This window comes from Homo sapiens, chromosome 4, assembly GCF_000001405.40.
Source record: "Homo sapiens chromosome 4, GRCh38.p14 Primary Assembly".
Taxonomy (NCBI): domain Eukaryota; kingdom Metazoa; phylum Chordata; class Mammalia; order Primates; family Hominidae; genus Homo; species Homo sapiens.
This window is the reverse complement of record NC_000004.12, coordinates 25191377-25215873: the sequence shown is the minus strand read 5'-3', so window position 1 is coordinate 25215873 and position 24497 is coordinate 25191377. Positions and strand designations below refer to the sequence as shown.

Here is a 24497-nt window from a genome sequence, read left to right as displayed (position 1 = left end):
AAGCTGGCTGAATAAATTTGCATAAGTAATGAGGAACCAAATGTTAATCTCCAAGACAATGGGGAAAATATCTCCAGGGCATTTCAGACCTCTTAGCAGCAGCCCCTCCCATCACAAACCCAGAGGCCTAGGAAAGAAAAAATAGTTTCACAGGCCAGGCCCAGGGCCCTGCTGCTCTGTGCAGCCTCAGGACTTGGTGCCCTGTGTTCCAGCCACTTCAGCTCCAGCCGTGGCTAAAAGGGGCCAAAGTACAGCTTGAGCCATGGCTTCAGAGGGTCCAAGCCCCAAGCTTTGGCAGTTTCCCCATGGTGTTGGGCCTGCAGGTGCACAGAAGACCAGATTTGAGGTTTGAGAACCTCTGCCTAGATTACAGAGGATGTATGGAAATGCCTGAATGTCTAGGCAAAAGTCTGCTGCAGGAATGGAGCTCTCACGGAGAGCCTCTCCTAGGGCAATGCAGAGGGGAAATGTGAGGTTGGAGCCCCCACAGAGTCCCCATTAGGGCACTGTCAAGTGGAGCTGTGAGAAGAGGGCCACCATCCTTCAGACCCCAGAATGGTAGATCCACTGACATCTTGTATCATGCACCTGGAAAAGCTTCAGGCACTCAATGCCAGCCTGGGGGCTGTACCCTGCAGAGCCACAGGGGCAGAGCTGCCCAAGACTTTGGGAGCCCAGCTCTTGTATCAGCATGCTCTGGGTGTGAGACATGGAGTCAAAAAAGATTATTTTGGAGCTTTAAGATTTAATGAGTGCCCAGCCAGGTTTTGGACTTGTATGGAGCCTGTGGCCCCTTTGTTTTGGCCAATTTCTCCCATTTGGAATGGGAACATTTACCCAATGCCTGTACCTGCATCGTATCTTGGAAGTAGCCAACTTGCTTTTGATTTTACTGGCTGCTAGGGGGAAGGGACTTGCTTTGTGTCAAATTAGACTTTGGACTTGGACTTTTGGGTTAATGCTGGAATGAGTTAAGGCTTTGGGGGACTGTTAGGAAGGCATGATTATGTTTTGAAATGTGAGAAGGACATGAGATTTGGGAGAAGCCAGGGACAGAGTGATATGCTTTGGCTCTGTGTCCCCACCCAAATCTCATCTTGAATTGTTATCCCCACATGTTGAGGGAGAGACCCGGTAAGAGGTGATTGGATTATGGGGACTGTTTCCCCAATGCTGTTCTCATGATACTGAATGAGTTCTCATGAGATATGATGGTTTGAAAGTGTTTGGCAGATCCCTTCTACCTCCTCCTGCCCTGTGAAGAAGGTGCCTGATTCCCCTTCACCTTCCATCATGATTCTAAGTTTCCTGAGGCCTCCCAGCCATGCAGAACTGAGTCAATTAAACCTCCTTTCTTTATAAGTTACCCACTCTCAGGTAGTGTCTTTACAGCAGCATGAGAATGGTCTAATACATTGCCTCTTCCCAGCTTCTGGTGGCTCCCAGTAATCCTTGGTGTTCCCTGGCTTGTAGATAATCCGTCCAATCTCTGCTCTGTTGTTACATGGTCTTCTCTCTGTGTATCTCTGCGTGTCTTCTCCTCTTCTTATAAGGAAATCAGTCATTGGATTTAGCTCCCACCTTAGTACGGTATGACCTCATCTTGAGTAATTACATCTGCACAGACCCTATTTCCAAATAAAGTCAAGTTCTTGGGTTTCCAGGGGACATGAATTTGAGGGGGAAGCTATTCAACCCATTATAAAAACTTAGTGCAGTAACATACACCTGTTATTATCAGATAGACAGTCTCATCAAAAGCCTCAGTGTGTCATTAGTATAACTTTCCTAGAATCTGTGACTATCACAGAAAGAGAACCACTGAGCAAACCTAAGAAGTGGTCACAACAAAGAGTGAGCACAAGAAAAATCACTTCCTGAATGTGACCAGATTTATGCTGTTTCGTGGATGAAAAGACCATGATTCCAAATTCTGACAACAAAAGCTCTTTGTTGAATGGAAATCTTCCATAAAATCTGCCTATGAAGTACTGGATACTGAATGTAGTTCCATGAACTCTGCAGAACATCTTGGATGTGCTCAGAGCTTCATCAGCAGGGTCCGTCCCTTCCCTACTGGGTGTGTGACAGGCCTACTCTGAGACAGGATAGGGAGAGAACAAGGTGTACATGTTTCTAAACATCCCAGACCTAAGAAGATGCACCAGCTACACTAACAACATGACAGTTTTCTTCTGCTAAGCTTTCTTATCAAGCTGGCTTCAGGATAAAAGAAAACTTAATTTGTCCAAGGAAGCTCTGGCTGTGGAAACTGTCACTCTTGGCTTTGAGGAAACACTCCATAGTGGCTGCAGAGTAGTTTCTGCTCCTTGAATTAGACTTTTGGACTCTGACAGAGGTTAAAAACCAACCTTACGTGATGATACTATTTTTAACTTCTAATCTCAGAGTTGGTATTATTGGGCAATGGATTAGATTAGATGCAAAAGAACATCAGAAGTACAGTCATAATCATTCCTGTTTGATAAGAAATTTTCAAATGGCATATTAATCTATTAATTGTCAACATGTACAGAACATTCCTAATGACTTCATCTATATGGATCCATACATTCCTCCACTTTTAACCCTATTGATTCTACTTCTGAAATATCTCTTGAATCATCTGCTTTTCTTTCTCCCTACCACTACCACCATAGTCCAAGCCATCATCATATCTGTCCTGACCACCACAACTGTCTCTCAACTAAATCTCACTTCCACTCTAGTCCTGCAAATAGTTAGGATACCATGGGCAGCAAATGCAGAAATCTTGATTCCAGTTGGTTTAAAGGAAATTTATTATCTCACATAGGAGGAAGGCTAGCAATAGGGCAAGTTTGGGAGCTGGCTGACTCAGCAGTTCATCATTGTCACCAGAGTCCCAGGTTCTTTCTATCTTTTAGCTCATCTATGCTTAGCTTGTCATCTTTAGTCTCAGGCTGCTACCCTCATGGGTGAAAGATGGCTGCAGCTGTTTTCAGCAGCTTCACACCCAGTCATGGCCACATCCAGATGCAGGAAGAGACTGTCTCCTAGTGCGTTCCTATGAATAAGGATACTTTCCCCAGAAGTCTCCCACAATAGATATTCCTCTCAAAGCTCACTGGCCAAAACAGGTTCGCATGCCCACTACTAAACCAATCAATTACTAACAAAGAGAATGAGACCATCTGTACTGACTTGGACCAATCAGGAATTATCCCCAGTGTTGGGAATATGATCCTATTTCTATGAGTTATCTGGAGAAAAGATGGACACCTTAACAAAACTATAATTTTGCCTGTGAGAGCTAAGGGAGGAAAAGATATTGGACAAGCAACTAAAGGTGTCATCAAGACCCTCTGCCACAAATCTCTTTTCTGTTGAGCAAGCTTGTCCAACCTGCAGCCTGCACACATCCCAGAATGCCTTTGAATGCAACCCAACACAAATTCATAAACTTTCTTAAAACATTATTAGGTGTTTTTTGTGGCTTTTATTTTTTTTAGCTCATCAGCTATCATTAGTGTATTTTATATGTGGCCCAAGACAATTCTTCCAATGTGGCCCAGGGAAGCCAAAATATTGGACACCCTTGCTACAGAGCAACCAGAATACTTTTCTCAACTTGCATTTCCAATTATGTTCTTCCTCACCTAAAAACTTCAATGGCTTCCTATGGTACATAGAATGTAATCCTGAAATCCTATTTGGGTTTACAAGGCCTTGTGGGCTCTGCACACTGCTCTCCTCATTAATTATAAGCCACTCCTTCTGGCTTCCTCTCCATCTTAGGGCTTGTGTGTATGCCTGAACTTGGACTGTACAGAAACAGAACCAATAGGATATATTAGGTTGGTGCAAAAGTAATTGCAAAAGCCTCAGTTACTTTTACACCAACCTATAAAAGATTTATTTCAAGGAACTGGCTTATGTGATTGTGGGGGCGGGCAAGTTCAAAATTTGTAGGGCAGGCTGGAAACTCAGGCAGGAGTTGATGCTGCAGTCTTGAGGCAGAATGCCCTCCCTGAGAAACCTGTTTTTGCTCTTTTGGCCTTTCAATAGACTGGATGAGGCCCACCTACATTGTGGAAGGTAATACCCTTTACTTAAAATTAACCGATTGTAGATGCTAACCACATCTACAAAATATCTTCACAGCAACACTCGGATTAGTGTTTGATTAGACTGGACACTATAGACTAATCAAGGTGTGATGCTATTATATATATATATATGTTTTCATCCATGGTTCCTGGCTTACAACTCCCATAGCCATTGTAACAGCCTTGTTATAATGTTGGTTGTGTTAGTATGTTAGGCCTTAGATCAGGCCTCAGAAAACAAAATTTGTCTCTCTGATCTTCTCCTGCCCTCCTTTCACATGCCCCAAGGCAGGATTCTAATCATTCCCCTCCTTCCCCTGTCCTATACTCCCAACTTCATCCGGCCCTATAACCTGGAGGAAGGAATCCTGCCATCATGTAGTTTCCATAATGACCCAAGAGGACTGGTTTTCGAGAACTTCTAGATAGCTAAACACATGAGGGTTCCTAGGGGGTGGGGGTTGCAAGGCATGGAAGCTCCATGCACCTTGACCATACCTCACCCTATTTGTCTCTTCATCTGTATTCTTTGAAAAATCCTTTATGATAAGCTGATAAATGTGTTTCCCTGAATTCTGTGAGCTTTTCCAGCAAACTAATTGAACCCAAAAGGAGGGTTGTGGTAATCCCAAATTGAAGCCAGTCATCAGACATTCCACAGGCCCAGACTTGTTACTGGTGGGGGAGGGGCAGTTTTGGGGACTGAGCCCCCAACCTTGGGATCTGATGCTATCTCTTGGTAGATAGTGCTGGAATTGAATTAGAGGACCCCCAGCTGCTGTCTGCTGCTTGGTGTGTGGGTAAAACTCCCCATATTTGGTCACAGAAATCTTCTGTGTTGATTGTTGTTGTGTTGGTGTGAGAGTAGAGGATGAGCATGGTTTGCAAGATATCCCCCTCAAAAAATATCCCCCTCAAAGCTCACTGGCCAAAACCGGTTCACATGCCCACCACTAAACCCTCAATTACTAATAAAGAGAATGAGACCATCTGTATTGATTTGGACCAATCAGGATTTATCCCCAGAGTTGGGAATATGATCCCATTTCTCTGAGTTACCTGGAGGAGACATGGATACCTTAAAACTATAATTTTGCCTGTAAGAGCTAAGGGAGGAAAAGATATTGGACAAGCAACTAAAGGTGTCACTAATTCTCTGCCACAAATTTGTTTTCCGTAGAGCAAGCTTGTCCAATTGTAAACACAAATTGACACATAAAGCTAATGAAGGAAATAAAAATAGTTCACCAGAAAATATGGCTCCCTGGTATAATGAGTATTTTAAAGTAAAAACCCTTAAAGATCAACAAGCTCTGGAAGAAACTTTCCCCTATCTACGTAAAGATAGGACTGTCCCACCAAGGAGAACAATTGCTCCTGTTCCCTTCCTTGTTATCTTAAGATCCATTACAGGAAAGAAGATCAAGAATGTAACCACACCTGAACAGACCTTATTCAAGGTATTGACTGTCTCAAAGTTTCATATACATTCCAAAGAGAACTATTTACAAGTTAATTTCTGTTCTCCTATCCAGTCATTCTCCCTACAAACCATTTATTGCCCCTCAGTGAAATTCCACTTCTCCCCATCCCATAATCCATTTCACCAGGATCCAGGCCCCTATTCTTTCTGTAAACTCAAGATGGTACATAAGCTTCTGTACCTCACTGGGAGGTTGAGTCTTCATTCTGAAGTCTCCTGTGTTAAATAAATTTGTATGCCTTTTCTCCTATTAATCAATCTGCCTCATGTCAGTTGATTTTTCAGCTAACCTTTAGGCAGCCAAGGGCTTTGGTCCTGTAAACCAAAAATAAAATTCTAAGTACCCCCAACAGGCTGAATGGACCCCTCCTCCTAGTCAAGGGAATTCCAAAGAAACCTGAAAAACTAGTTCAGCCCATGATGGGAAGAGGGGTTGAATACGCCTCATTATACTGTCCTCCCTTTGGAATTCAGGCTCATCTGACCAGCATTAATATTAAAACAGAGATCTTAAGACTGAAAAAACAGACTCTTTTTAGCAATAAGACACCAAATTCCAACCTGACTCTAGTATAGCATCACATCACTGATGGCAGGTCTTGAAAGAAATTAAAGTATTTTACCTCAAAATATATATTTTTTTCTTTTCCTTTCTTTTTTTTTTTTGCTCGTCACCCAGGCTGGAGTGCAATGGCGTGATCTTGGCTCACTGCAACCCCCACCTCCCAGGCTCAAGCGATTGTCCTGCCTCAGCCTCCCAAGTAGCTGGGATTACAGGCGCCTGCCACCATGCCTGGCTAATTTTTGTATTTTTAGTAGAGACAGGGTTTCACCATGTTGCCCAGGCTGGTCTTGAACTCCTGACCTCAGGCAATCTGCCTGCCTCGGCCTCCCAAAGTGCTGGGGATTATAGGTATGAGCAACCGTGCCTGGCCTCTTTTTCTTTTCTTTTTTTGAGGAAAGGTCTCACTCTGTCACTCAGGCTGGAGTGCAGTGGCATAGACCATGGCTCACAGAAGCCTCAACCTCTGGGCTCATATGATCCTCCCACCTCAGCTTCCCAAGTAGCTGGGACTATAGGTGTACGCACTACCATGCCTGGTTAATTTTTGTGTATTTTTTTGTAGAGACAGGGTCTCACCATGTTGCCCAGGCTGGTCTCCAACTCCTGGGCTCAAGCAATCTGCCCAACTCAGCCTCCCAAAGTGCTGGGATTACAGGTGTGAGTCACTGCAACAAGTTCCCAAATATATTTCTTTGACATATTTTGAAACGGCCCTGCAAAGCTGTCTCTTGTGGGGGAAATTTACATCCTGTAGAGACTCCTCTTCCTTTTCCAGGTCTTCTTCTGATCCTGAAGAGATTAGCTGGGAGTCTAGCACCTTTCAAAGGTCTAAGTAGGAAACATTTGCCATCTATTGCCTCTAAGGGCAGCCACTTATGAGACTTCATCTACATAATAATCTTGGTCTCCACAACCCCTTGTCTTAACCCAGACACTCATTTCTGTTTATTACACGTCTTTAGATAATAACTTAACTCTTTCAACTAATTGGCAGTCAGAAAACTTTTGAATCCACATGTGACCTGTAAGCCCCCACTGGAGTTGACCCACCTTTCTGAACTGAACCAATGTATACCTTACATGTAGTGATTGAGGTCTTATGTCTCCTTGAAACATATAAAACCAAGCTGTACCACAACCACCCCGGGCACAGGTTCTCAGGACCTCCTGGGGCTGTGTCATTGGTCATGGTCTCCACATCTGGCTCAGAACAAATCTCTTCAAATATTTTATAGAGTTTGGCTTTTTCATCAACAGCCCCACACTATCACATGGATTCTTCTTCTTTTCTTCTGTCCAGCCAGAAGATACCCAGCCACTCAATGTGGTAGACCAACATTTCCTCATCCAGGTCTTAATGTCCCCTAGGAAGACCTCTGGAAGGGTCTCCTGCCCCATCCAGATTAGGTACCCTCTTTTGGCTCCAAAGAAAACTCTCTACCTCCAACATATGCTAACATTACACAATTTTGTAATAACCTGTTTACCTATCTGTACTGCCAACTACAACATAAGCCAGAAGAACCAAAAAACCATGCTTAGTGCACTGTTATGCTCCCATTAGCCAGCACAGAACTAGTCACATAGTAGACACTCAGTAAATATTTACCAAATGAATGTATCTCATCCAACTCCATTTTCTAGTTGAAGTAATGGTTTAGAGATGATAAGCCCCTTATCCATGACTACATCAAAAATAGTAGTTAAGCTGGGTTAGAACTCGCAACTCCTGCCTGTAAATGTGGGCTCTTCTCCACTTTGCTACTCCTCTTTGTGCTGGAAGGTTAAGAATATCCAGATGTGATGAGGTTTATTTTTTAGAGGTAGGTGAGTGTGTGTGTGTGTGTGTATGTGTGTGTGTGTGTGTTTATGCTCAGCCCTTTTGTATTAAAAAAGAGAGGCACACTCAGGTTCCTGCAAGTAATAGGATTTTTGGGGGGAGTTTCCTTGTTTTCTTTTTAGACACACACGTTAAGGATGATAGAAAGCTCATGTGACAAGAATTGCCATCTAGCCAGGCCCGAAGGAAACCTGACCAGGAACTAGGTTTTCTCCTTGTTCCTGAGCAGCAAAATGTCACCAGTTCCCTGCCATCCTGAGGACTCAGCTCTGCCCTATTGCTTCTGTTCTTGTTGCTGCTATCTACCAGTGACCCACCTTCTGTGCATGCCTTCCTGATGGCTACTGCTTAACAGGAAGATGAGCTTGCACATGCCTTCTCTTTGCAAATTTTTATCATCTCTTATTGCTACCCAACTGATTTTCTCTTCTATATTTTCTAATCCTAATTTCTGACGACGCTACTCTGGTTGGCTCCTTTGGCTACATTCTTTTCTGTTTGGGTATGGTTTTTTTTTTTTTTATGTCTGGCCACTCCATAGGTTAGCCCAAGGGCTGGCTGCTTTTGCAGACAATTAGCTATGATGTGGGAGGACAAAGGCAGGTCATGTGGAATATAACATGTTTTTTCCATGGAGATTGTAGGGGAGGCATTTTTTTCTTTCCTTGTGATTGAGAGTGAGGCAGATAACATCATTGACCTGTCCAATACAGCAAAAAACAAAAAAACACCTCAAACCACAGTTTTTGGATAACAGTCCAATGCATTCTCTCATGGCAAGGTATAGTAGTATCTTTAAAAGGCTCAAATACTTTCATTCCGAGCATGTGTGGGTCCCAATTTTCTTTTTCAGGTTAAGGGGCTGGGGAAAAACCATGCTAGGGGTGGTGTAAAGAAAATGGAAAGTAAAATAACTCAGATTGTAACATTATTTGACTTAGACAATAACAAGAGAATTTAAATGGAGCTAGATCTCAAAGTGATTTCTATGAAAACAGACAACTAAGTTTTATTTTTCTTTCTTTTTTAAAAAAGATTTTAATCTAATCTGATAGAGTAGGAGAAAATAACTCAATGTTCTGAAAATAAATTTCCCAGAGGAGGCCATTAAGGCAGCCCTTTTGTTTCCTGTCATACTCTGAATCAGCTACAAGGACAAACTCTATTTGTTTGAGTACATTAATTTTGCTCAATGGCCTTTCTATAAAATGAGCATCAAATTGATGGGACTGGACCTCAGTAAAGAAGAAGTTCCAATTTTCTCTGGATGGATTGTTCTGGATGTGCAGTGGAAAATTATTATTAACAGCAATTCATGTTTACTATCCAGTGAGAACAAGAGAAAGATGGAGTTTAGAAACACAGCTGTATCTGACTAAGCACTGAGCACCATAGGACAAATTACTAGGGAATGATGAGCTGATCTTTGTCTTCTGTGTGGCTAGTCTACTTGGGCCATATATGGTATGCTGGACCACAGATTTTCTCTGACTGTGTCTTGGTTCAGTAATTTCAGGGAAGCAAGATAGGTTTTTAATATGATCTAGTCATTTGGGTTGTCTTGTTGCAGGTACCATATGGTGCTGATGTGTCGGATGCCTCCATGTGTTGATTTCAATCATTCAACTGGACACATGGTGAGAGGCTGAACAGACATGCTTCCTTCCCTCATGGAGTTTATATTGCAATTGAATCTGGTTCCGAGACCTTCTGATTCTGATTCAGCCTTCTAAGTTCAAACCAAAGCAGAGGTATTCAATGGCTGTTAATTTTCCTTCCCAGGTTAAGGGGTTGGGAGTAAAGCATGCTGAAATAATGTATGAAGAAGGAAATTAAAAGAAGTAAAATAGGCCAGGCACAGGGGCTCATGCTTGTAATCCCAGCACTTCGGGAGGCTGAGTTGGGAGATCACTTAAGGTCAGGAGTTCAAGACCAACCTGGTCAACATGGTGAAACCCCATCTCTACTAAAAATAAAAATATTAGCCGGATGTAGTGGCACACACCTGTGGTCCCAGCTACTCGGGAGGCTGAGGCAGGAGAATCACTTGAACCCTGGAGGCGGAGGTTGCTGTGAGCCAAGATCACGCCACTGCATTGCAGCCTGGGGACAGAGTGAGACTCTGTCTCAAAAAGAAAAAAAGGAAGCAAAATAACTTCATCTTCCTGGGGCTCAGTCAGAACCCAGCAAGTTCCTGCAGACAGTGGGGTATGGAGAGCTGCTATAATTCACATTTCTCGTAAATGTATAAGACTTTGCCATTTGCATTCTATGTGCTAAGCTCATTCCTGATTCTATTTATCTTCTCTTCCATGGAAATAAACAAAGACCTACTCAAACGAGAGCAGGCAAAAGCTCCTTATTTACAGCTTGTTATAGCAAGGGAGTCAGCCACCATCACTTGTATTTGGCAGAGACTCAAAGGCAGGCAGAGGGGTGGGAAAGTTTCATAGTAACAAAAAGGGAAGGCTTCAGGTACACCCTAATGGGAGGCTGTTGGCAGGAGAAGTTGGAGGCAGCTAACCAGAAAGAGGGCATCCTATGTGATTGATTCGGGTATAATATTTGGCTTTCTCTGGTTGGCCTTGAGTTGGAAGCAGGGATTAAAATTAGGGAAGCTGGCAGTTATTAATCAAGTCTTGGCCATTTTGGGCCAATGGCTAGAGGGGTTATTGTTTAGCTTCCTGGGCTGTTGGCTAGAGATAATGGGTTGGTTACTACAGATTGTGGGTCAGGAAGTTCTACTTAAAAAAAAAAAATATATATATATATGTGTGTGTGTGTGTGTGTGTGTGTATGTGTGTGTGTGTGTATATATGTGTGTGTGTGTACATGTATATATATAAAGAGAAAGACAGAGAGGGTCTCACTCTGTCACCCAGGCTGGAATGCAGTAGCTCAATCACAGCTCACTGCAGCCTAGACCTCCTGGGCTCAAGTGGTCCTCCCACCTCAGCATCCCAAGTAGCTGGAACTATAGGTATGCACCACCATGCACAGCCAATTTTTTTGTATTTTTTATAGAGACGGTGTCTCACTATGTTGTCCAGGCTGGTCTCAAACTCTTGGCTCAAGCGATTTGCCCACCTCAGGCTCCCATAGTGCTGTGATTATGGGCATGAGCCACTGTGTCTGGCTTCAGAGTTCTACTTTGGTAGATGGTCTGGCATCTGACTTATCATTTTACCTAGATTGCTTCATGTATTTTAACTTTCAAATCCTTTATCTTACACATATCTATTCATAGCCATCAATTCTGCAACCTCCATAGTACATTTTCTAAAAATTTTTAATTATAAAAAGAATACATGTTCATCAAATTAAAAGTTTTAAAGATAGAGCTAAACAAAAGGAAAAATAATTTCATAAACTCCCACCAACCACATTTCTGCTGACAATTTGCTCTATGTTCTTTCTATGCATATATGTCAATACAATCCCATAGCACTTTGTACATTCGTAACTCTTCTATAAATAGTTGTCGTGTGTGCTTCCTCCCCTCCCCCCATTGGAGATTTGCAGAGATAGAGAGTGTTTTTCATTTAACCCTTACTCTCCAAACCTTACATGGTGTGTTAAACCTGGTAGCATGTTTAATAAGCATTAAGTACAATTGGGAAATAGGGAAATTTCATGTGGTTAAACCCAGCGGATGGATGGATAAATGGATGAATGGACGGATGGATAAATTGTAATACCTTTAACCATTGTCAATTCTATTCCATGTAACTAATGATTTAAACATCAAACTTTTGAATGAACATGTTGTGGCCTCTTGACAGCAATGGAGAAAATTCTGACTTCTGCTCTTAGCTTAGTTATTTCTCACATTTGTCTATGACTGATAGTTAGCCAATTACTAAATAACAGTGTCAATCCCTTTCATCCATACGTGCATTCAACATTTTTATAAAACTGCAATCTCCCTGTCACGAGTAGATAGATCATTTTCATTTTTCAATTATTTGAGCTTCAGTTTAGGACTTTGGTTAATGGTTTTGCAAGACATTGATTGGAGAGGTCCTTTTCTTTCCTGATTAAAAGCATGTATGATGTCGTCTCTCTAGCTATGTTTTATTTGTATCTAGTAATTGTGAATCTAAATATATGACTATGGTGATCTGTCACATACTATATTATGTGAATTTTTCAGGAAGCAAAATAATTCTAAAAAAATCATTTCAGAAGATTGTCATTAGTCAGACTAAGGATAATGGAAGTAAATCTTATGTAAAATAAATTGTTTTCAATAAAACATTATAATAGAAAATCACTGTTGCCAACTCCTATTCAATATTCCTCCTATTATAGTATCTGTGTATCATATCTAGAGAGGAGTTTCTACATAAATTGTTTCTACGGCCATTGTCCTTGGGGCTTAGTCTTTAAAAAACTACAGTTGGTAGTAGCATGGAGGAGAAGAGTACAAAGTCAGCCGTCCTGAGCTCCCCCTCATTCTAGCTCTGTCTCTTACAGGTTTTGTGATCTCGGATATGTTATCTTCTCTGCTGGAGTCTTACTTACCTGTTCTGTAAAATGGGGATCAAATGTTATCTTGTAGAAGATAGTCATTCATTGTTTCATTCAACGTACACTTACTTATGTGTCCAAGCCCTGTGGTAGGCAGAGCTATTGGGTGATAGCACAACTCCATGCACAATATGTTTCTATTGTTTTTTATGCTCTGGGTATGAGTAGGATGGAGGCAGGCAAGGGGCTTCCTCAAATCTTCTGTTGTAGTGAAATTGGCAACTTCAAGATATAAGCCAGTTCCTGGTAACAACATGCTGTAGTTTCAGGTATGAGTATTGGGGCTCAAATCTTTGGTAATTTGATTTTGGGAAACTCTGAACTGTTCCCTTTCAATTCTCTCCTGGGCAAAATGTAAATAATGGTTTCTGCTTCACTTACTGTCCAGAATTCTCTAGGTGGTTATATCTGTTAGCAGTTTACATGCGTTACCAGAATCAAATGAGATCATCAAAAGGCATTATCTCTGCCCATGACCTTTGTAAACTGTAAATATATAATTGGTGATTAAAATTCTTACTTTTTTATTTTTTAACTCAGGTTGGTTTGAGGAAAGCAATGTTTTTCAGTTTTTTGGTTAAACTTTCCCGGAGGAGTTTGAAACTCTTCCCTGCACCTACCTTAGAGTTTATCCACAGCATCGCATGTTTATTGACATCAACTAGGAAGAATTTCAAAAATCCCAAGGTGTCTTGCCCTAAGCAATAATCTCTGGGGGTGCAGCTGTTAAAAAACTCCCCAGGTGATCCGAATGTGCAGCCAGGGCAGAGAAACACAGCCTCAAGAAATGATTTTCCAGTTTAACACCTGAAGTCCAGCCAGAAAAACTCCTAAGCATTACAACTGTTCCAGGTGGGCAGGTAGTGGTTTATCCAACCTCCCTCTCACTTTCAGGAAGGTGGAGGCTGCAGCCATTCTGGGTGCTTGGACAGGTGGATAGAGGATCTGCCTCTGCCATTACAAAATGCCATTGCCAGCATTTAATATTTTCAATAATAGTAATAAAATCACTTTTTATAATTGAAGTGCTTCACAGATTCCAGAGCGCTTTCAAATGCATCAACTCATTGAAATAAATTTACTTCGCCCCCACCAATAAAAAGAAACAAGTGCTTTTTTATAGGAATTTTAGGAAGCATAGAAAAGCTGAAAGAAGACATCAAAAAATCTTCCAAATCCCATTACTTAAAGACAATCATATTTTGTAAATTTTCTTCTAGTTTTTTTAACAAATTAGTTAAAATTTTTATCATAAAATTATGCATGTTTATTGTAAAAAAAAGTTAAATACCGAATTTGTAAAGCAAAAAATGAAAGTCCCTATCCTCCCTCCAACCCCTCACCTATCCTAACTCCTACCCCCACCTTATTAAAGTACACTCTTCAGAGTCAGACGTTGTTAACGGTCTTTGTTTTTCCAATTTAGATGATTTTTTATTTTTTATTTTTCATTTTTTTTAAAGTTTCCATAGGTTATTGAGGAACAGATGGTGTTTGGCTATGTGAGTAAGTTCTTTAGTGGTGATTTGTGAGATTTTGGTGCACCCATCACCCGAGCAGTATACGCTGCACCCTATTTGTAGTCTTTTATCCCTCACCCCCTTTCTACCCTTTCCCCCTGAGTCTTCAAAGTCCATTGTGTCATTCTTATGCCTTTGCATCCTCATAGCTTAGCTCCCACTTATGAGTGAGAACATACAATGTTGGTTTTCTATCCCTGAGTTACTTGACTTAGAATAATAGTCTCCAGTCTCATCCAGGTCACCGTGAATGCCGTTAATTCATTCCTTTTTGTGGCTAAGTAGTAGTCCATCATATATACATACCACAGTTTCTTTATCTGCTCATTGATTGATGGGCATTTGGGTTGGTGCTATGGTTTTGCAATTGCGAATTGTGCTGCTATAAACATGCGTGTGCAAATATCTTTTTCGTATAATGACTTCTTTTCCTCTGATAGATACCCAGTAGTGGGATTGCTGGATCAAATGGTAGTTTTACTTTTAGTTCTTTAAGGAATCTCCACAGTGTTTTCCATAGTGGCTATACTAGTTTACATTCCCACCAGCCATGTAGAAGTGTTCCCTGATCACCACATCCATGCCAACATCTACTATTTTTCGATTTTTAGATTATGGCCATTCTTGCAGGAGTAAAGTGGTATCACATTGTGGTTTTGATTTGCATTTCCCTGATCATTAGTGATGTTGGGCATTTTTTTATGTTTGTTGGCCATTTGTATATCTTCTTTTGGGAATTGTCTATTCATGTCCTTAGCCCACTTTTTGATGGGATCATTTTTTTTTTCTTGCTAATTTGTTTGAGCTCCTTATAGATTCTGGATATTAGTCCTTTGTCAGACATATAGATTGTGAAGGTTTTTTCCCACTCTGTGGGTTGTCTCTTTACTCTGCTGACTGTTCTTTTTGCCATGAGAAAGCTCCTTAGTTTAATTAAGTCCCAGCAATTATCTTTGGTTTTATTGCATTTGCTTTTAGGTTCTTGGTTATGAAATCCTTGCCTAAGCCAATGTCTAGAAGGGTTTTGCCAATGATATCTTCTAGAATTTTTGTAGTTTCAGGTCTTAGATTAAGTCCTTAATCCATCTTGAGTTGATTTTTGTATAAGGTGAGAGATGAGGATCCAGTTTCATTCTCCTGTATGTGGCTAGCCAATTATCCCAGCACCATTTGTTGAAAAGGATGTCCTTTCCCCACTTTATGTTTTTGTTTGCTTTGTCAAAGATCAATTGGCTGTAAGTATTTGGGTTTATTTCTGAGTTCTCTTTTCTGTTCCATTGGTCTATGTGCCTGTTTTTATACCAGTACCATGCTGTTTTGGTGACTATGGCCTTATAGCATAGTTTGAAATCAGGTAATGTGATGCCTCCAGATTTGTTCTTTTTGCTTAGTATTGCTTTGGATATGTGGGCTCTTTTTTGGTTCCATATGAATTTTAGAATTGTTTTCTCTAATTCTGTGAAGAATGATGGTGGTATTTTGATGGGAATTGTGTTGAATTTGTAGATTGCTTTTAGCAGTATGGTCATTTTCACAATATTGATTCTACCTATCCATGAGCTCCTCCTCAACATAGTATTGGAAGTCCTGGCCTGAGCAATCAGACAAGAGAATGAAATACAGGGCATCCAAATTGGTAAAGAAGAAGTCAAACTGTCGCTGTTTGCTGATGATATGATTGTTTACCTAGAAAACCCTAAGGACTCCTCCAGAAAGCTCCTATAACTGATAAAAGAATTCAGGAAAGTTTTCTGGATACAAAATTAATATACACAAATCAGTAGCTCTTCTATACACCAACAGCGACCAAACTGAGAATCAAATCAATAATGCAACCCCTTTTACGATAGCTGCAAAAAAAAAGATACTTAGGAATATACCTAACCAAGGAGGTGAAAGACCTCTACAAGGAAAAGCTACAAAACACAGCTGAAAAAAATCACAGACAACACATACTAATGGTCTTTACATACAAACACTTTCTGGCCTTTCCTTTCTCTGTGCATAAGTTTAAAAAGCTTTGTTTTTCGTGGTTGTATTCTTAAAGTACATGCAACTTTTATTCAGTTTTACCTCAGTGAAAATTATATCATAAGCTTTCTTAAGTATGACTTTTAATGGCTGCTTAATATCCTATTGAATATATGTATTTTAATTTGCTTAATTATGTACTGTTGAATAATTAGTTTTTTTCTAGCTTTTTACTATTATAAAACCTGCAGTAACTGTCTTGCACATACAGCCTTTTCTGTTCTATTTAGGCAAATTCTTTCTTTCTTTCTTTTTTTTGAATAGAGAAAGGGTTCTCACTATGTTGTCCAAGTTGGTCTTGAACTCTTGGCCTCAGATGATTCTCCCACCTTGGCCTCCCAAAGTGCTGGAATTACAGGAGTGAGCCACCGTGCCTGGCCTCTTTCCACAATTTCTCTAGATATAGCCACACTCCGGGAGAGCATTCCTGGGTTGCGTTAATGATTCTTTCCATGACCCTGGGAAGTTGGCTATGCAGGAAGTTGGCTAACACAGAGGAAGGAGCATGGGTTTTGAGGGTCAGACAAACTTATATTCAAATCCTAGCTTTGGCCGAGTGTGATGGCTCACACCTGTAATCCCAGCACTTGGGAAGGCTGAGACAGGTGGATCACTTGAGGTCAAGAGTTCAAGACCAGCTTGGCCAACATGTGAAACCCTATCTCTACCAAAAATACAAAAATTAACTGGGTGTGGTGGTTGCACACCTGAAATCCCAGCTACCTGGGAGGCTGAGGCATGAGAATCGCTTGAAGCTGGGAGGCGAAGGTTGCAGTGAGCTGAAATCACACCACTGCACTCCAGCCTGGGTGACAGAGCAAGACTCTGTCTCAAAAAAGAAAAAAAAAATCCTAACTTTGCCATTGATTAGCTGTGTGACTTTGGAAAATAACTTAACCTCTCTGACTCTCATATTGTGCATTTGTGATACAGAGATAATAATGCCTACTTAATGGTGCTACTATATTATGAAGATTATTTTGTAAAGCACTTATGGAGATAACTTCCCTGAATTAACACAGAGTAAAAGATATTTCCTGTACTTCCTTGAAAACAACAATGTTGTGGGGACCTTTAAAAAAATTGAAGTGTGGCTTATATACTGTAAGGTGCACATGTTTTAAACACATAACTTGACGATTTTTAAGCATATGTCTAAACCCAAGTAACTACAATTCAGATCAAGAAATAGAACATTTTCATCACCCAGAAGATTCCCTTATGCCTCCCACTTCCCCATCAGTAACCATTTTCCTTCTCAGAGGTAAGTGCTGATGTCTACCAAAATGGATTAGTTTTTTGTCTTAAGCTTTATTATTTTTTCTTTTATTTCTTTAAATAAAGTCTCTTATAAATTTATTTCCCCAACAATTTTGTCATTAGGATAGCATTGGCTTTCACCTAGATAACAAGATTTTTCAGCACAAATATAAAGTTTTCTGTAAGTAGCATCCAGTAGTTAGTCCTACGCTGAATCCAAAACCTCTTATTTTGCATGTCATTCTTTCCCAGTCTTCAGTTGCACAGCGGAAGAGGAAAAGGGTGGAAGAGCAGAGGAAGAGAGGGTGCTATTTTATCAGGGACAATGAGAATTCAACATGGCTGGGGAGGCCTCAGGAAACTTACAATCATGGCAGAAGGCGAAGGGGAAGAAAGGCACCTTCTTCACAAGGCTGCAGGAGGGAGAATCATCTTAACCTTTATTTAAAGGAATCAGACAGTATATACTTTTGTGTTTCTGGTATCTTTTGCTCAATAATTATGTCTGTAAGATTTATCCATGCTGTTGTGAGTTTTAATAGTTTGTCCTTTTATATTGTGTCATATTTCAAGCTCTGAACATCCCAACATTTGTTTATCTTTCTGCTATTGATGGACATTTGAGCTGTTTCCAGTTTGGATCTATTATGAACACTTTGGCACATATCTCTAGTGGACACAGAACACTCATTTTTTTTGGTATATATACCTAGGAGTAAAATTGCTGGGTCATGGGGTAGGTGAATATTTAGCTTTGGTAGATATTTCCATTATCGTCTACGAAGACAGATTTTGAAAAGCTAAAGTTGGTCAGGCGCGGTGGCTCACACCTGTAATCCCAGCATTTTGGGAGGCCAAGGCGGGTGGATTACCTGAGGTCAGGAGTTCAAGAGCAGCCTGGCCTAGTTGGTGAAACCCTGTCTCTACTAAAAATATTTTTAAAAATTATCCAGGCATGGTGGTGGGCACCTGTAATCCCAGATATTCGGGAGGCTGAGGTAGGAGAATCGTTTGAACCCGGGAGACGGAGGTTGCAGTTGTGAGCCAAGATCATGCCACTTGCACTCCAGCCTGGGCGACACAGTGAGACTGTCTCAAAAAAAAAAAAAAAAGTCACTTAATTATTTATTCGATAAATGGTAAACGCTACTATGCATCACGTACAGTCCTAAGTCCTGAGTTGGAGAAGTTCCAGGGTTAGTCAATTGAGAGAATCAAAGACATTAGGGACCACTTTTTCTTTTTACCCTCTTTAGAGTGTTTTAGGGCACTGAACTTCATCTCCTCATTCCTACCCTCCTGGTCTTAAGATGGTCTCTGCAGTTTCTCGTATTATATTAATATCATTACAAGATCTCATCCACATACAAAAAGCAGGTGAGGAGAAGGGGAATGGTTCTCCTTGTTTGTGCATTTTATTTTATTTTTTAATAAAAAAAAAAACTTTCTCATAACTCTCCAGCAAGCTTTCCCTCTGGCCCCATTGGCTGGGTTAGGTGATATGCTCATGCCATAGCAGAAAAGTCTGGATGAAGAGTTTCCAATGACTGGGTGTGGTGGCTCATGCCTGTGATAGCAGCACTTTGGGAGGCTGAGGGAGGAGGATTGCTTGAGCCTAGGAGGTCAAGGTTGTAGTGAGCCGAGATAGTGCCACCGCACTCCAGCCTGGGGCAACAAAGCAAGACCCTGTTTCAAAAATTTAAAAAAGTTTCCAGCATTTTCCTTCTTTTTGAGTTTCCAGCATTTTCAACTTCTTTAATGAGAAGCATGTTCAGCCAGCAAAGAAGAAGAAGAAAAATGGTTATAGACAAGCAACCAACAGTATCTGCCATAGCTATTTTATAGCTGTTTAAACTTGGGTAAGTAACTTACTCACTTTCTGGCTTTTCCATCAGAAAAATGGGAACAATAACAATTGCTTTAAAGATCAGGATCAGTATTAAGTGAAAAAAAAAAAACATGTGATGTGATAGGTATCAAATAAATACTAATAGCCTCCCTTTATACTATTCTTACTCCTCTGGTGCTCAACATTTGTGATTTCATCAATTGTCCAAATAAAACACCAGTTGAGAAAACTGAAGAGAAGAAACTAAGAGAATGTATTTAATGTCGTGATGTGTGTATGTAATTTATAAATTATATGGCTGGAGAAATTGCAGTTTATTATTTCAGGATGCAAAATAGACTGGAAATCTGAATCAGTTACAGGAGATGTATTGCAGTTAAATGAATTGTTTTGCTTCACAAATACATGAAAAAATATAGTCGTGTGAAGGATATTGGATACCAAATGGACTTTATTTTTAACTGTTTGTTTTAATAGCTCATGAAAATACGGCGGTGCTTTTATGGCTGCAATGAATTTTAGGAATAGGAGACTTCACTGAAGCTTTCTAGCACTAAATCTTTTTAGTGGAGACCTAAGAGACTTAGTATGCTGGTGTCTCTCCATGCATCCTGGTGGCCAGTTCCTCCTCTGCTCTTATTCATGCTTTTCTAAAAACTGGAGGCTGTGAGGATGGGTGGAAGGGGTGATAATTTCAAGAGCTGGTGCCTAGGAAAGTCGTATCATCCCTCATGAGCTTCATTTGCTTTTCTTAAGTTGATTCTCATTTTTTTTTTTTTTTTTTTTTTTTGAGACAGAGTCTGTCTCTTGTCACCCAGGCTGGAGTGCAGTGGTGCAATTGTGGCTTACTCAGCCTCGACCTCTTAGGCTCAAGAGATCCTCCTGCTTCAGCCTCCTATGTAGCTGGGACTACAGGCCTATGTCATGTTACCTGACTATTTTATTTCTTTTTTGTAGAGACAGCGTCTTGCTATGTTGCTCATGCTAGTCTCAAACTCCTGGCCTCAAGAGATCCTCCTGCCTCAGCCTCCCAAAGGGGTTACAGGTGTGAGCCACCACACCTGGCCAATTCTCATTTCTTAAATACAAGCCTTTTCCTCTTCCTGTGTAGGGTATATGATGGCTTCTTTGGAATTGACTTTAAAAGCGGGAAGATTTGGGAGGCCAAGGCAGGAGGATCACTTGAGCCCAGGAGTTAGAAGTCGTAGTAAGATATGATTGTACCACTGCACTTCAGCCTGGGTGACAGGGTGATACCCTGTAAAAAAAAAAAAAAAAAAAAAAAAAAGATAAAAGAAAAAAGACAGGAAGACTTTGTGGGTATATAAGATTCTTTTATTTTAATATTAGAAATTCAGCTTAACTTCTTATCCATAAAAAGGGAATTGATGGCCAGGCATGGTGGCTCATGCCTGTAATCCCTGCACTTTGGGAGCCTGAGGTGGGTGGATCATGAGATCAGGAGTTCAAGACCAGCCTGGCCAAGATGGTGAAACCCCATCTCTACTAAAAATACAAAAATGAGCTGGGCGTGATGGCAGGTGCCTATAATCCCAGCTACTCAAGAGGCTAAGGCAGAGAATTGCTTGAACCTGGGAGGCGGAGTTTGCAGTGAGCCGAGATGGCACCACTGCACTCCAGCCTGGGCGACAGAGCAAGACTCCATCTCAAAAAAAAAAAAAAAAAAAAAAAAAAAAGGAATTGGTTAGCTCACACAACTGAAAATCTAGGTCATATTTGACTTCAGACGTGGCTAGATCCAGGAGCTCAAAAGTGTCAAAGAATTGGTTTGCCTGTTTCCTGTCTTGCCTGCTTTCCTCTACAGTGGCTTCATTCTCAGACAAGCCAGTCTCTAGAGGTAACAAAATACCTGCCAGTAGTTTGTCCTCTCGGCAAACTCAGAAAAAAAAATACCTTCTTTCTCCAATAGTTCCACAAAAAGGTATCTACTCTGGAGGGCAAGGCTAAGGACAGGGCTGATTCTGAGCCAGAGGGCACCAGTACAGGTAGAGCAGCAGTTTCTAGTTGGCATCGAATTGGGCAGTGCTTATGCTTTATCTCTTGTTAACAATTTTGAAGTAAGAAGTGGCAAATGACTTATCCTTTTGGGCTTTTGGTAACTTTCATTTCATTTCATTCACCTTCATCTTCATTTTTCCCTTACCTCTTTCTTTTGCCCTTCTAAAATATCAGTAAGTGGGTGGGTGAGATTTGATCCTAATTGGGGTAAAATGAGGGTGATATAGTCATAGTGGTGGTGATTGTGCCTTTGGAAAGTGGGGCCTGGTTATACCAGTCCTAGTTTTCCACCACAAATTCCCTTGTCCCCTTTAGTTGTCTTAAAAGAGCATGGACAATAGAGCTAGAGCTCCTGGTCTTAAAATCAGGCATTTCAGCTCTGCCCTTATGAGCTGTGTGACTTTGAGCTATTGCTTAACCTCTCTGTGTCTCTGTTTTTTTACCCGTAAAATGAAGATAGCAACAGGGAATTGTTGAGAGGATTAAACAAATTAATATATATAAAATACTTATGTGATAGACTGGATTTTTAATTACCTATATATAATCAGCTGTGGGAAGAATGTACCTCCCCATCCCATTTGAAGTTAGACTTAGTCTTTCTTTGTAAGGCAGTATCTCACTCTGTCACCCAGGCTGGGGTGCAGTGGCACAATCATAGCTCACTGCAGCCTCAACCATCTGGGATCAAGAGATACTCCCATCTCAGTTCCCTTGAGTAGCTGAGACTACAGGTGCATTGCCACCACACCAGGCTAATTTTTCAATTTTTTGTAGTGATGGGGTCCCACTGTATTGCCCAGGCTGGTCTTCAACTCCTGGCCTCAAGCAATTCACCTACCTCAGCCTCCCAAATTGCTGGGATTACAGGTGTGAGTCACTGTGCCTGGCCTTAGAAATTTCTTAAAGGAAGATTTACAAATGGCCAATAAGCACATGAAGATACTCAACCTCAGTAGCCATTAGAGAAATGCAAACCAAAATCACAGTGAGATACCACATCATACTTACTAGTATAGTTATAATAAAAAAGCCAGCCAGATAGGCCGGGCGCTGTGGCTCATACCTGTAATCCCAGCACTTTGGGAGGCTGAGGCAGGCAGATCATTTGAGGTCAGGAGTTTGAGACCAGCCTGACTAACATGGTGAAACCCCATCTCTACTAAAATACAAAAATTAGCCAGGTGTGGTGGCAGGCATCTGTAATTCCAGCTACTCGGGAGGCTGAGTCAAGAGAATCGCTTGAACCCAGGAGGCAGAGGTTGCAGTGAGCTGAGATCATGCCACTGCACTACAGCCTGGGTGACAGAGTAAGACTCTGTCTCAAAAAAAAAAAAAAAAAGCCAGATAATAACAAGTATTGATCAGTATGTGAAAAAATTAGAACCCTTGGTGCAATGGCTCACACCTATAATCCCTGCACTTTGGGAGACTGAGGTAGGAGGACTGCTTGAACTCAGGAGTTTGAGACCAGCCCAGGCAACATAGTAAGACTCCCATCTTTATATTTAAAAAAAATGAATGAATAATTAAAAAAAACAGAACCCTTATACACTGTTGAGAGGATATAAAATGGTGCAGCTGCTCTGAAAAACTGTTCAACAGTTACTATAAAAACTCTCTGGAAAACTGTGTGGCAGTTACTCTGAAAGTTAAATATAGGTTTACCAAATGACCCATCAATTTCACTCCTAGATATAGACCCAAGACAACTGAAGTGATATAAATTGGTATAATATTTCTGGGATGTAATCCTATTTGACCCATAAATTCTACCTCTGGTAATATATTTTAAGGAAGTATATATTTTCTTTTTTTTTTCCCAGGCTATTCTCAAACTCCTGGGCTCAAGTGATCCTCCTACCTCATCCTCCCAAGTAGTTGGAAGTAAAAGCAGGCACCACTGCACACAGCTCTAATAAAATATATTCAGACAAGAATGCAAAATATATGTATAAGATGTTCATTGACGTATTGTGTAATAAATTTGGAAATAACTTCAAAGATCTATCAATAAGAGATAAGTTATGACACAGTTTGTATTAGGCAGTGGAATACCTAGCACTTATTTAAAAGGATTTCGTTGATAGCTGGGTGTAGTGGCTCACACCTGAAATACCAGCACTTTGGGAGGCCAAGGCAGGTGAATCTCCTGAGCTCAGAAGTTTGAGACCAGCCTGAGCAACATGGCAAAACCCAGTGTCTACCGAAAATACAAAAAATGAGCCGGGCGTGATGGCACACACCTGTGGTCCCAGCTACTTGGGAAGCTGAAGTGGGACGATCTCTTGAGCCTGGAAAGTGGAGGTTGCAAGGAGCTGAGATCACTTCACTGCACTCCAACCTGGGTTACAGAGTGAGACCCTGTCTCAAAAAAAAAAAAAAAAGAAGAAGAAGAAGAAGAAGAAGATAAGGCCAGGAGCAGTGGCTCACACCTGTAATCCCAGCACTTCGGGAGGCTGAGATGGGCAGATCACTTGAGGGTAGGAGTTCGAGACCAGCCTGGCCAATATGGTGAAACCCCATCTCTACTAAAAATACAAAAATTAGCTGGGCATGGTGACTGGTGCCTGTAATCCCAGATACTTAGGAGGCTGAGGTAGGAGGATCACTTGAACCCGGGAGGCAGAGGTTGCAGTGAGCCAAGATCGTGCTACTGCACTCCAGCCTGGGCAACAGAGTGAGACTATGTCTCCAAAAAAAAAAAAAAAAAAAGAGGATTTTGTGTTACTGGGCTGATGATCCTTTTACCCTGTAATATTTATCTTGTTTGGAGATGGAATGAACAGACTAGGACAAACATCTGCTTTTCTTATTCACTCACCTCTGGGCCCAGTTCCTAGAAGATACCACATATTTGAAGCAACAAAGGAGAATGTGCAATGTTTGCAAATTCTTTTTCTACAGTTCCTGGTTGTTGAAGGCTATGTTGAGTTGCTTTCTATGTTTCTATTTGACAGCTGGGGGTGAAAGATGCCCTTCAGTGTCCCAAATGAGAGAAGAGAATTTTAATTGGGAGTGGCCAAGGTTCACAATTTCAGCCTGGAGGAAAGTAAATTAAAGAGGTAAGGGCAGCTCCCACCTTGGAAAGACAATCTCCGCAGGCCTGCAGAAACAGACCTGCAGAATACCAGAGGCCCCTTGTCTACTCCCAGATCACTGAGAGAGTTTCCCTAACTTGAGGCTCAGCAACATTTGGTATCCTACATTTAGGCAGAGGGTTGCAAACAGTAGGGGCAAATGCTTGAACTCTGCTTAGCACTGAGTGGTCTTTGCTGCTTTTGGTCCTGAAATTTCTACCATGTTCCAATG

At 41.1% G+C, this 24497-nt stretch overlaps 2 long non-coding RNA genes across 8 annotated transcripts in view; one reads left to right on the top strand and one right to left on the bottom strand.

Moving 5' to 3' along the window:
- The window catches only part of LOC105374535 (uncharacterized), a 43715-nt gene that overhangs the window by 17992 nt on the left and 1226 nt on the right, over positions 1-24497 (top strand). Inside the window, exons 2-4 of one of the 7 annotated variants that reach the window (XR_001741626.2) lie at positions 9547-9727; positions 19059-19176; positions 24146-24250. This is a non-coding gene — a long non-coding RNA (uncharacterized LOC105374535). Of the gene's footprint in view, positions 1-6809; positions 19177-24145; positions 24251-24497 lie in introns of those variants that run through there. The other 6 variants (XR_007058085.1, XR_001741627.2, XR_001741628.2 and 3 more) reach the window with 6 other exon arrangements.
- SEPSECS-DT (SEPSECS divergent transcript) overlaps positions 17368-24497 on the bottom strand; it is a 37835-nt gene continuing 30705 nt past the window's right edge. Inside the window, exon 2 of the long non-coding RNA NR_037934.1 lies at positions 17368-18406. This is a non-coding gene — a long non-coding RNA (SEPSECS divergent transcript). The remainder of the gene's footprint in view (positions 18407-24497) is intronic.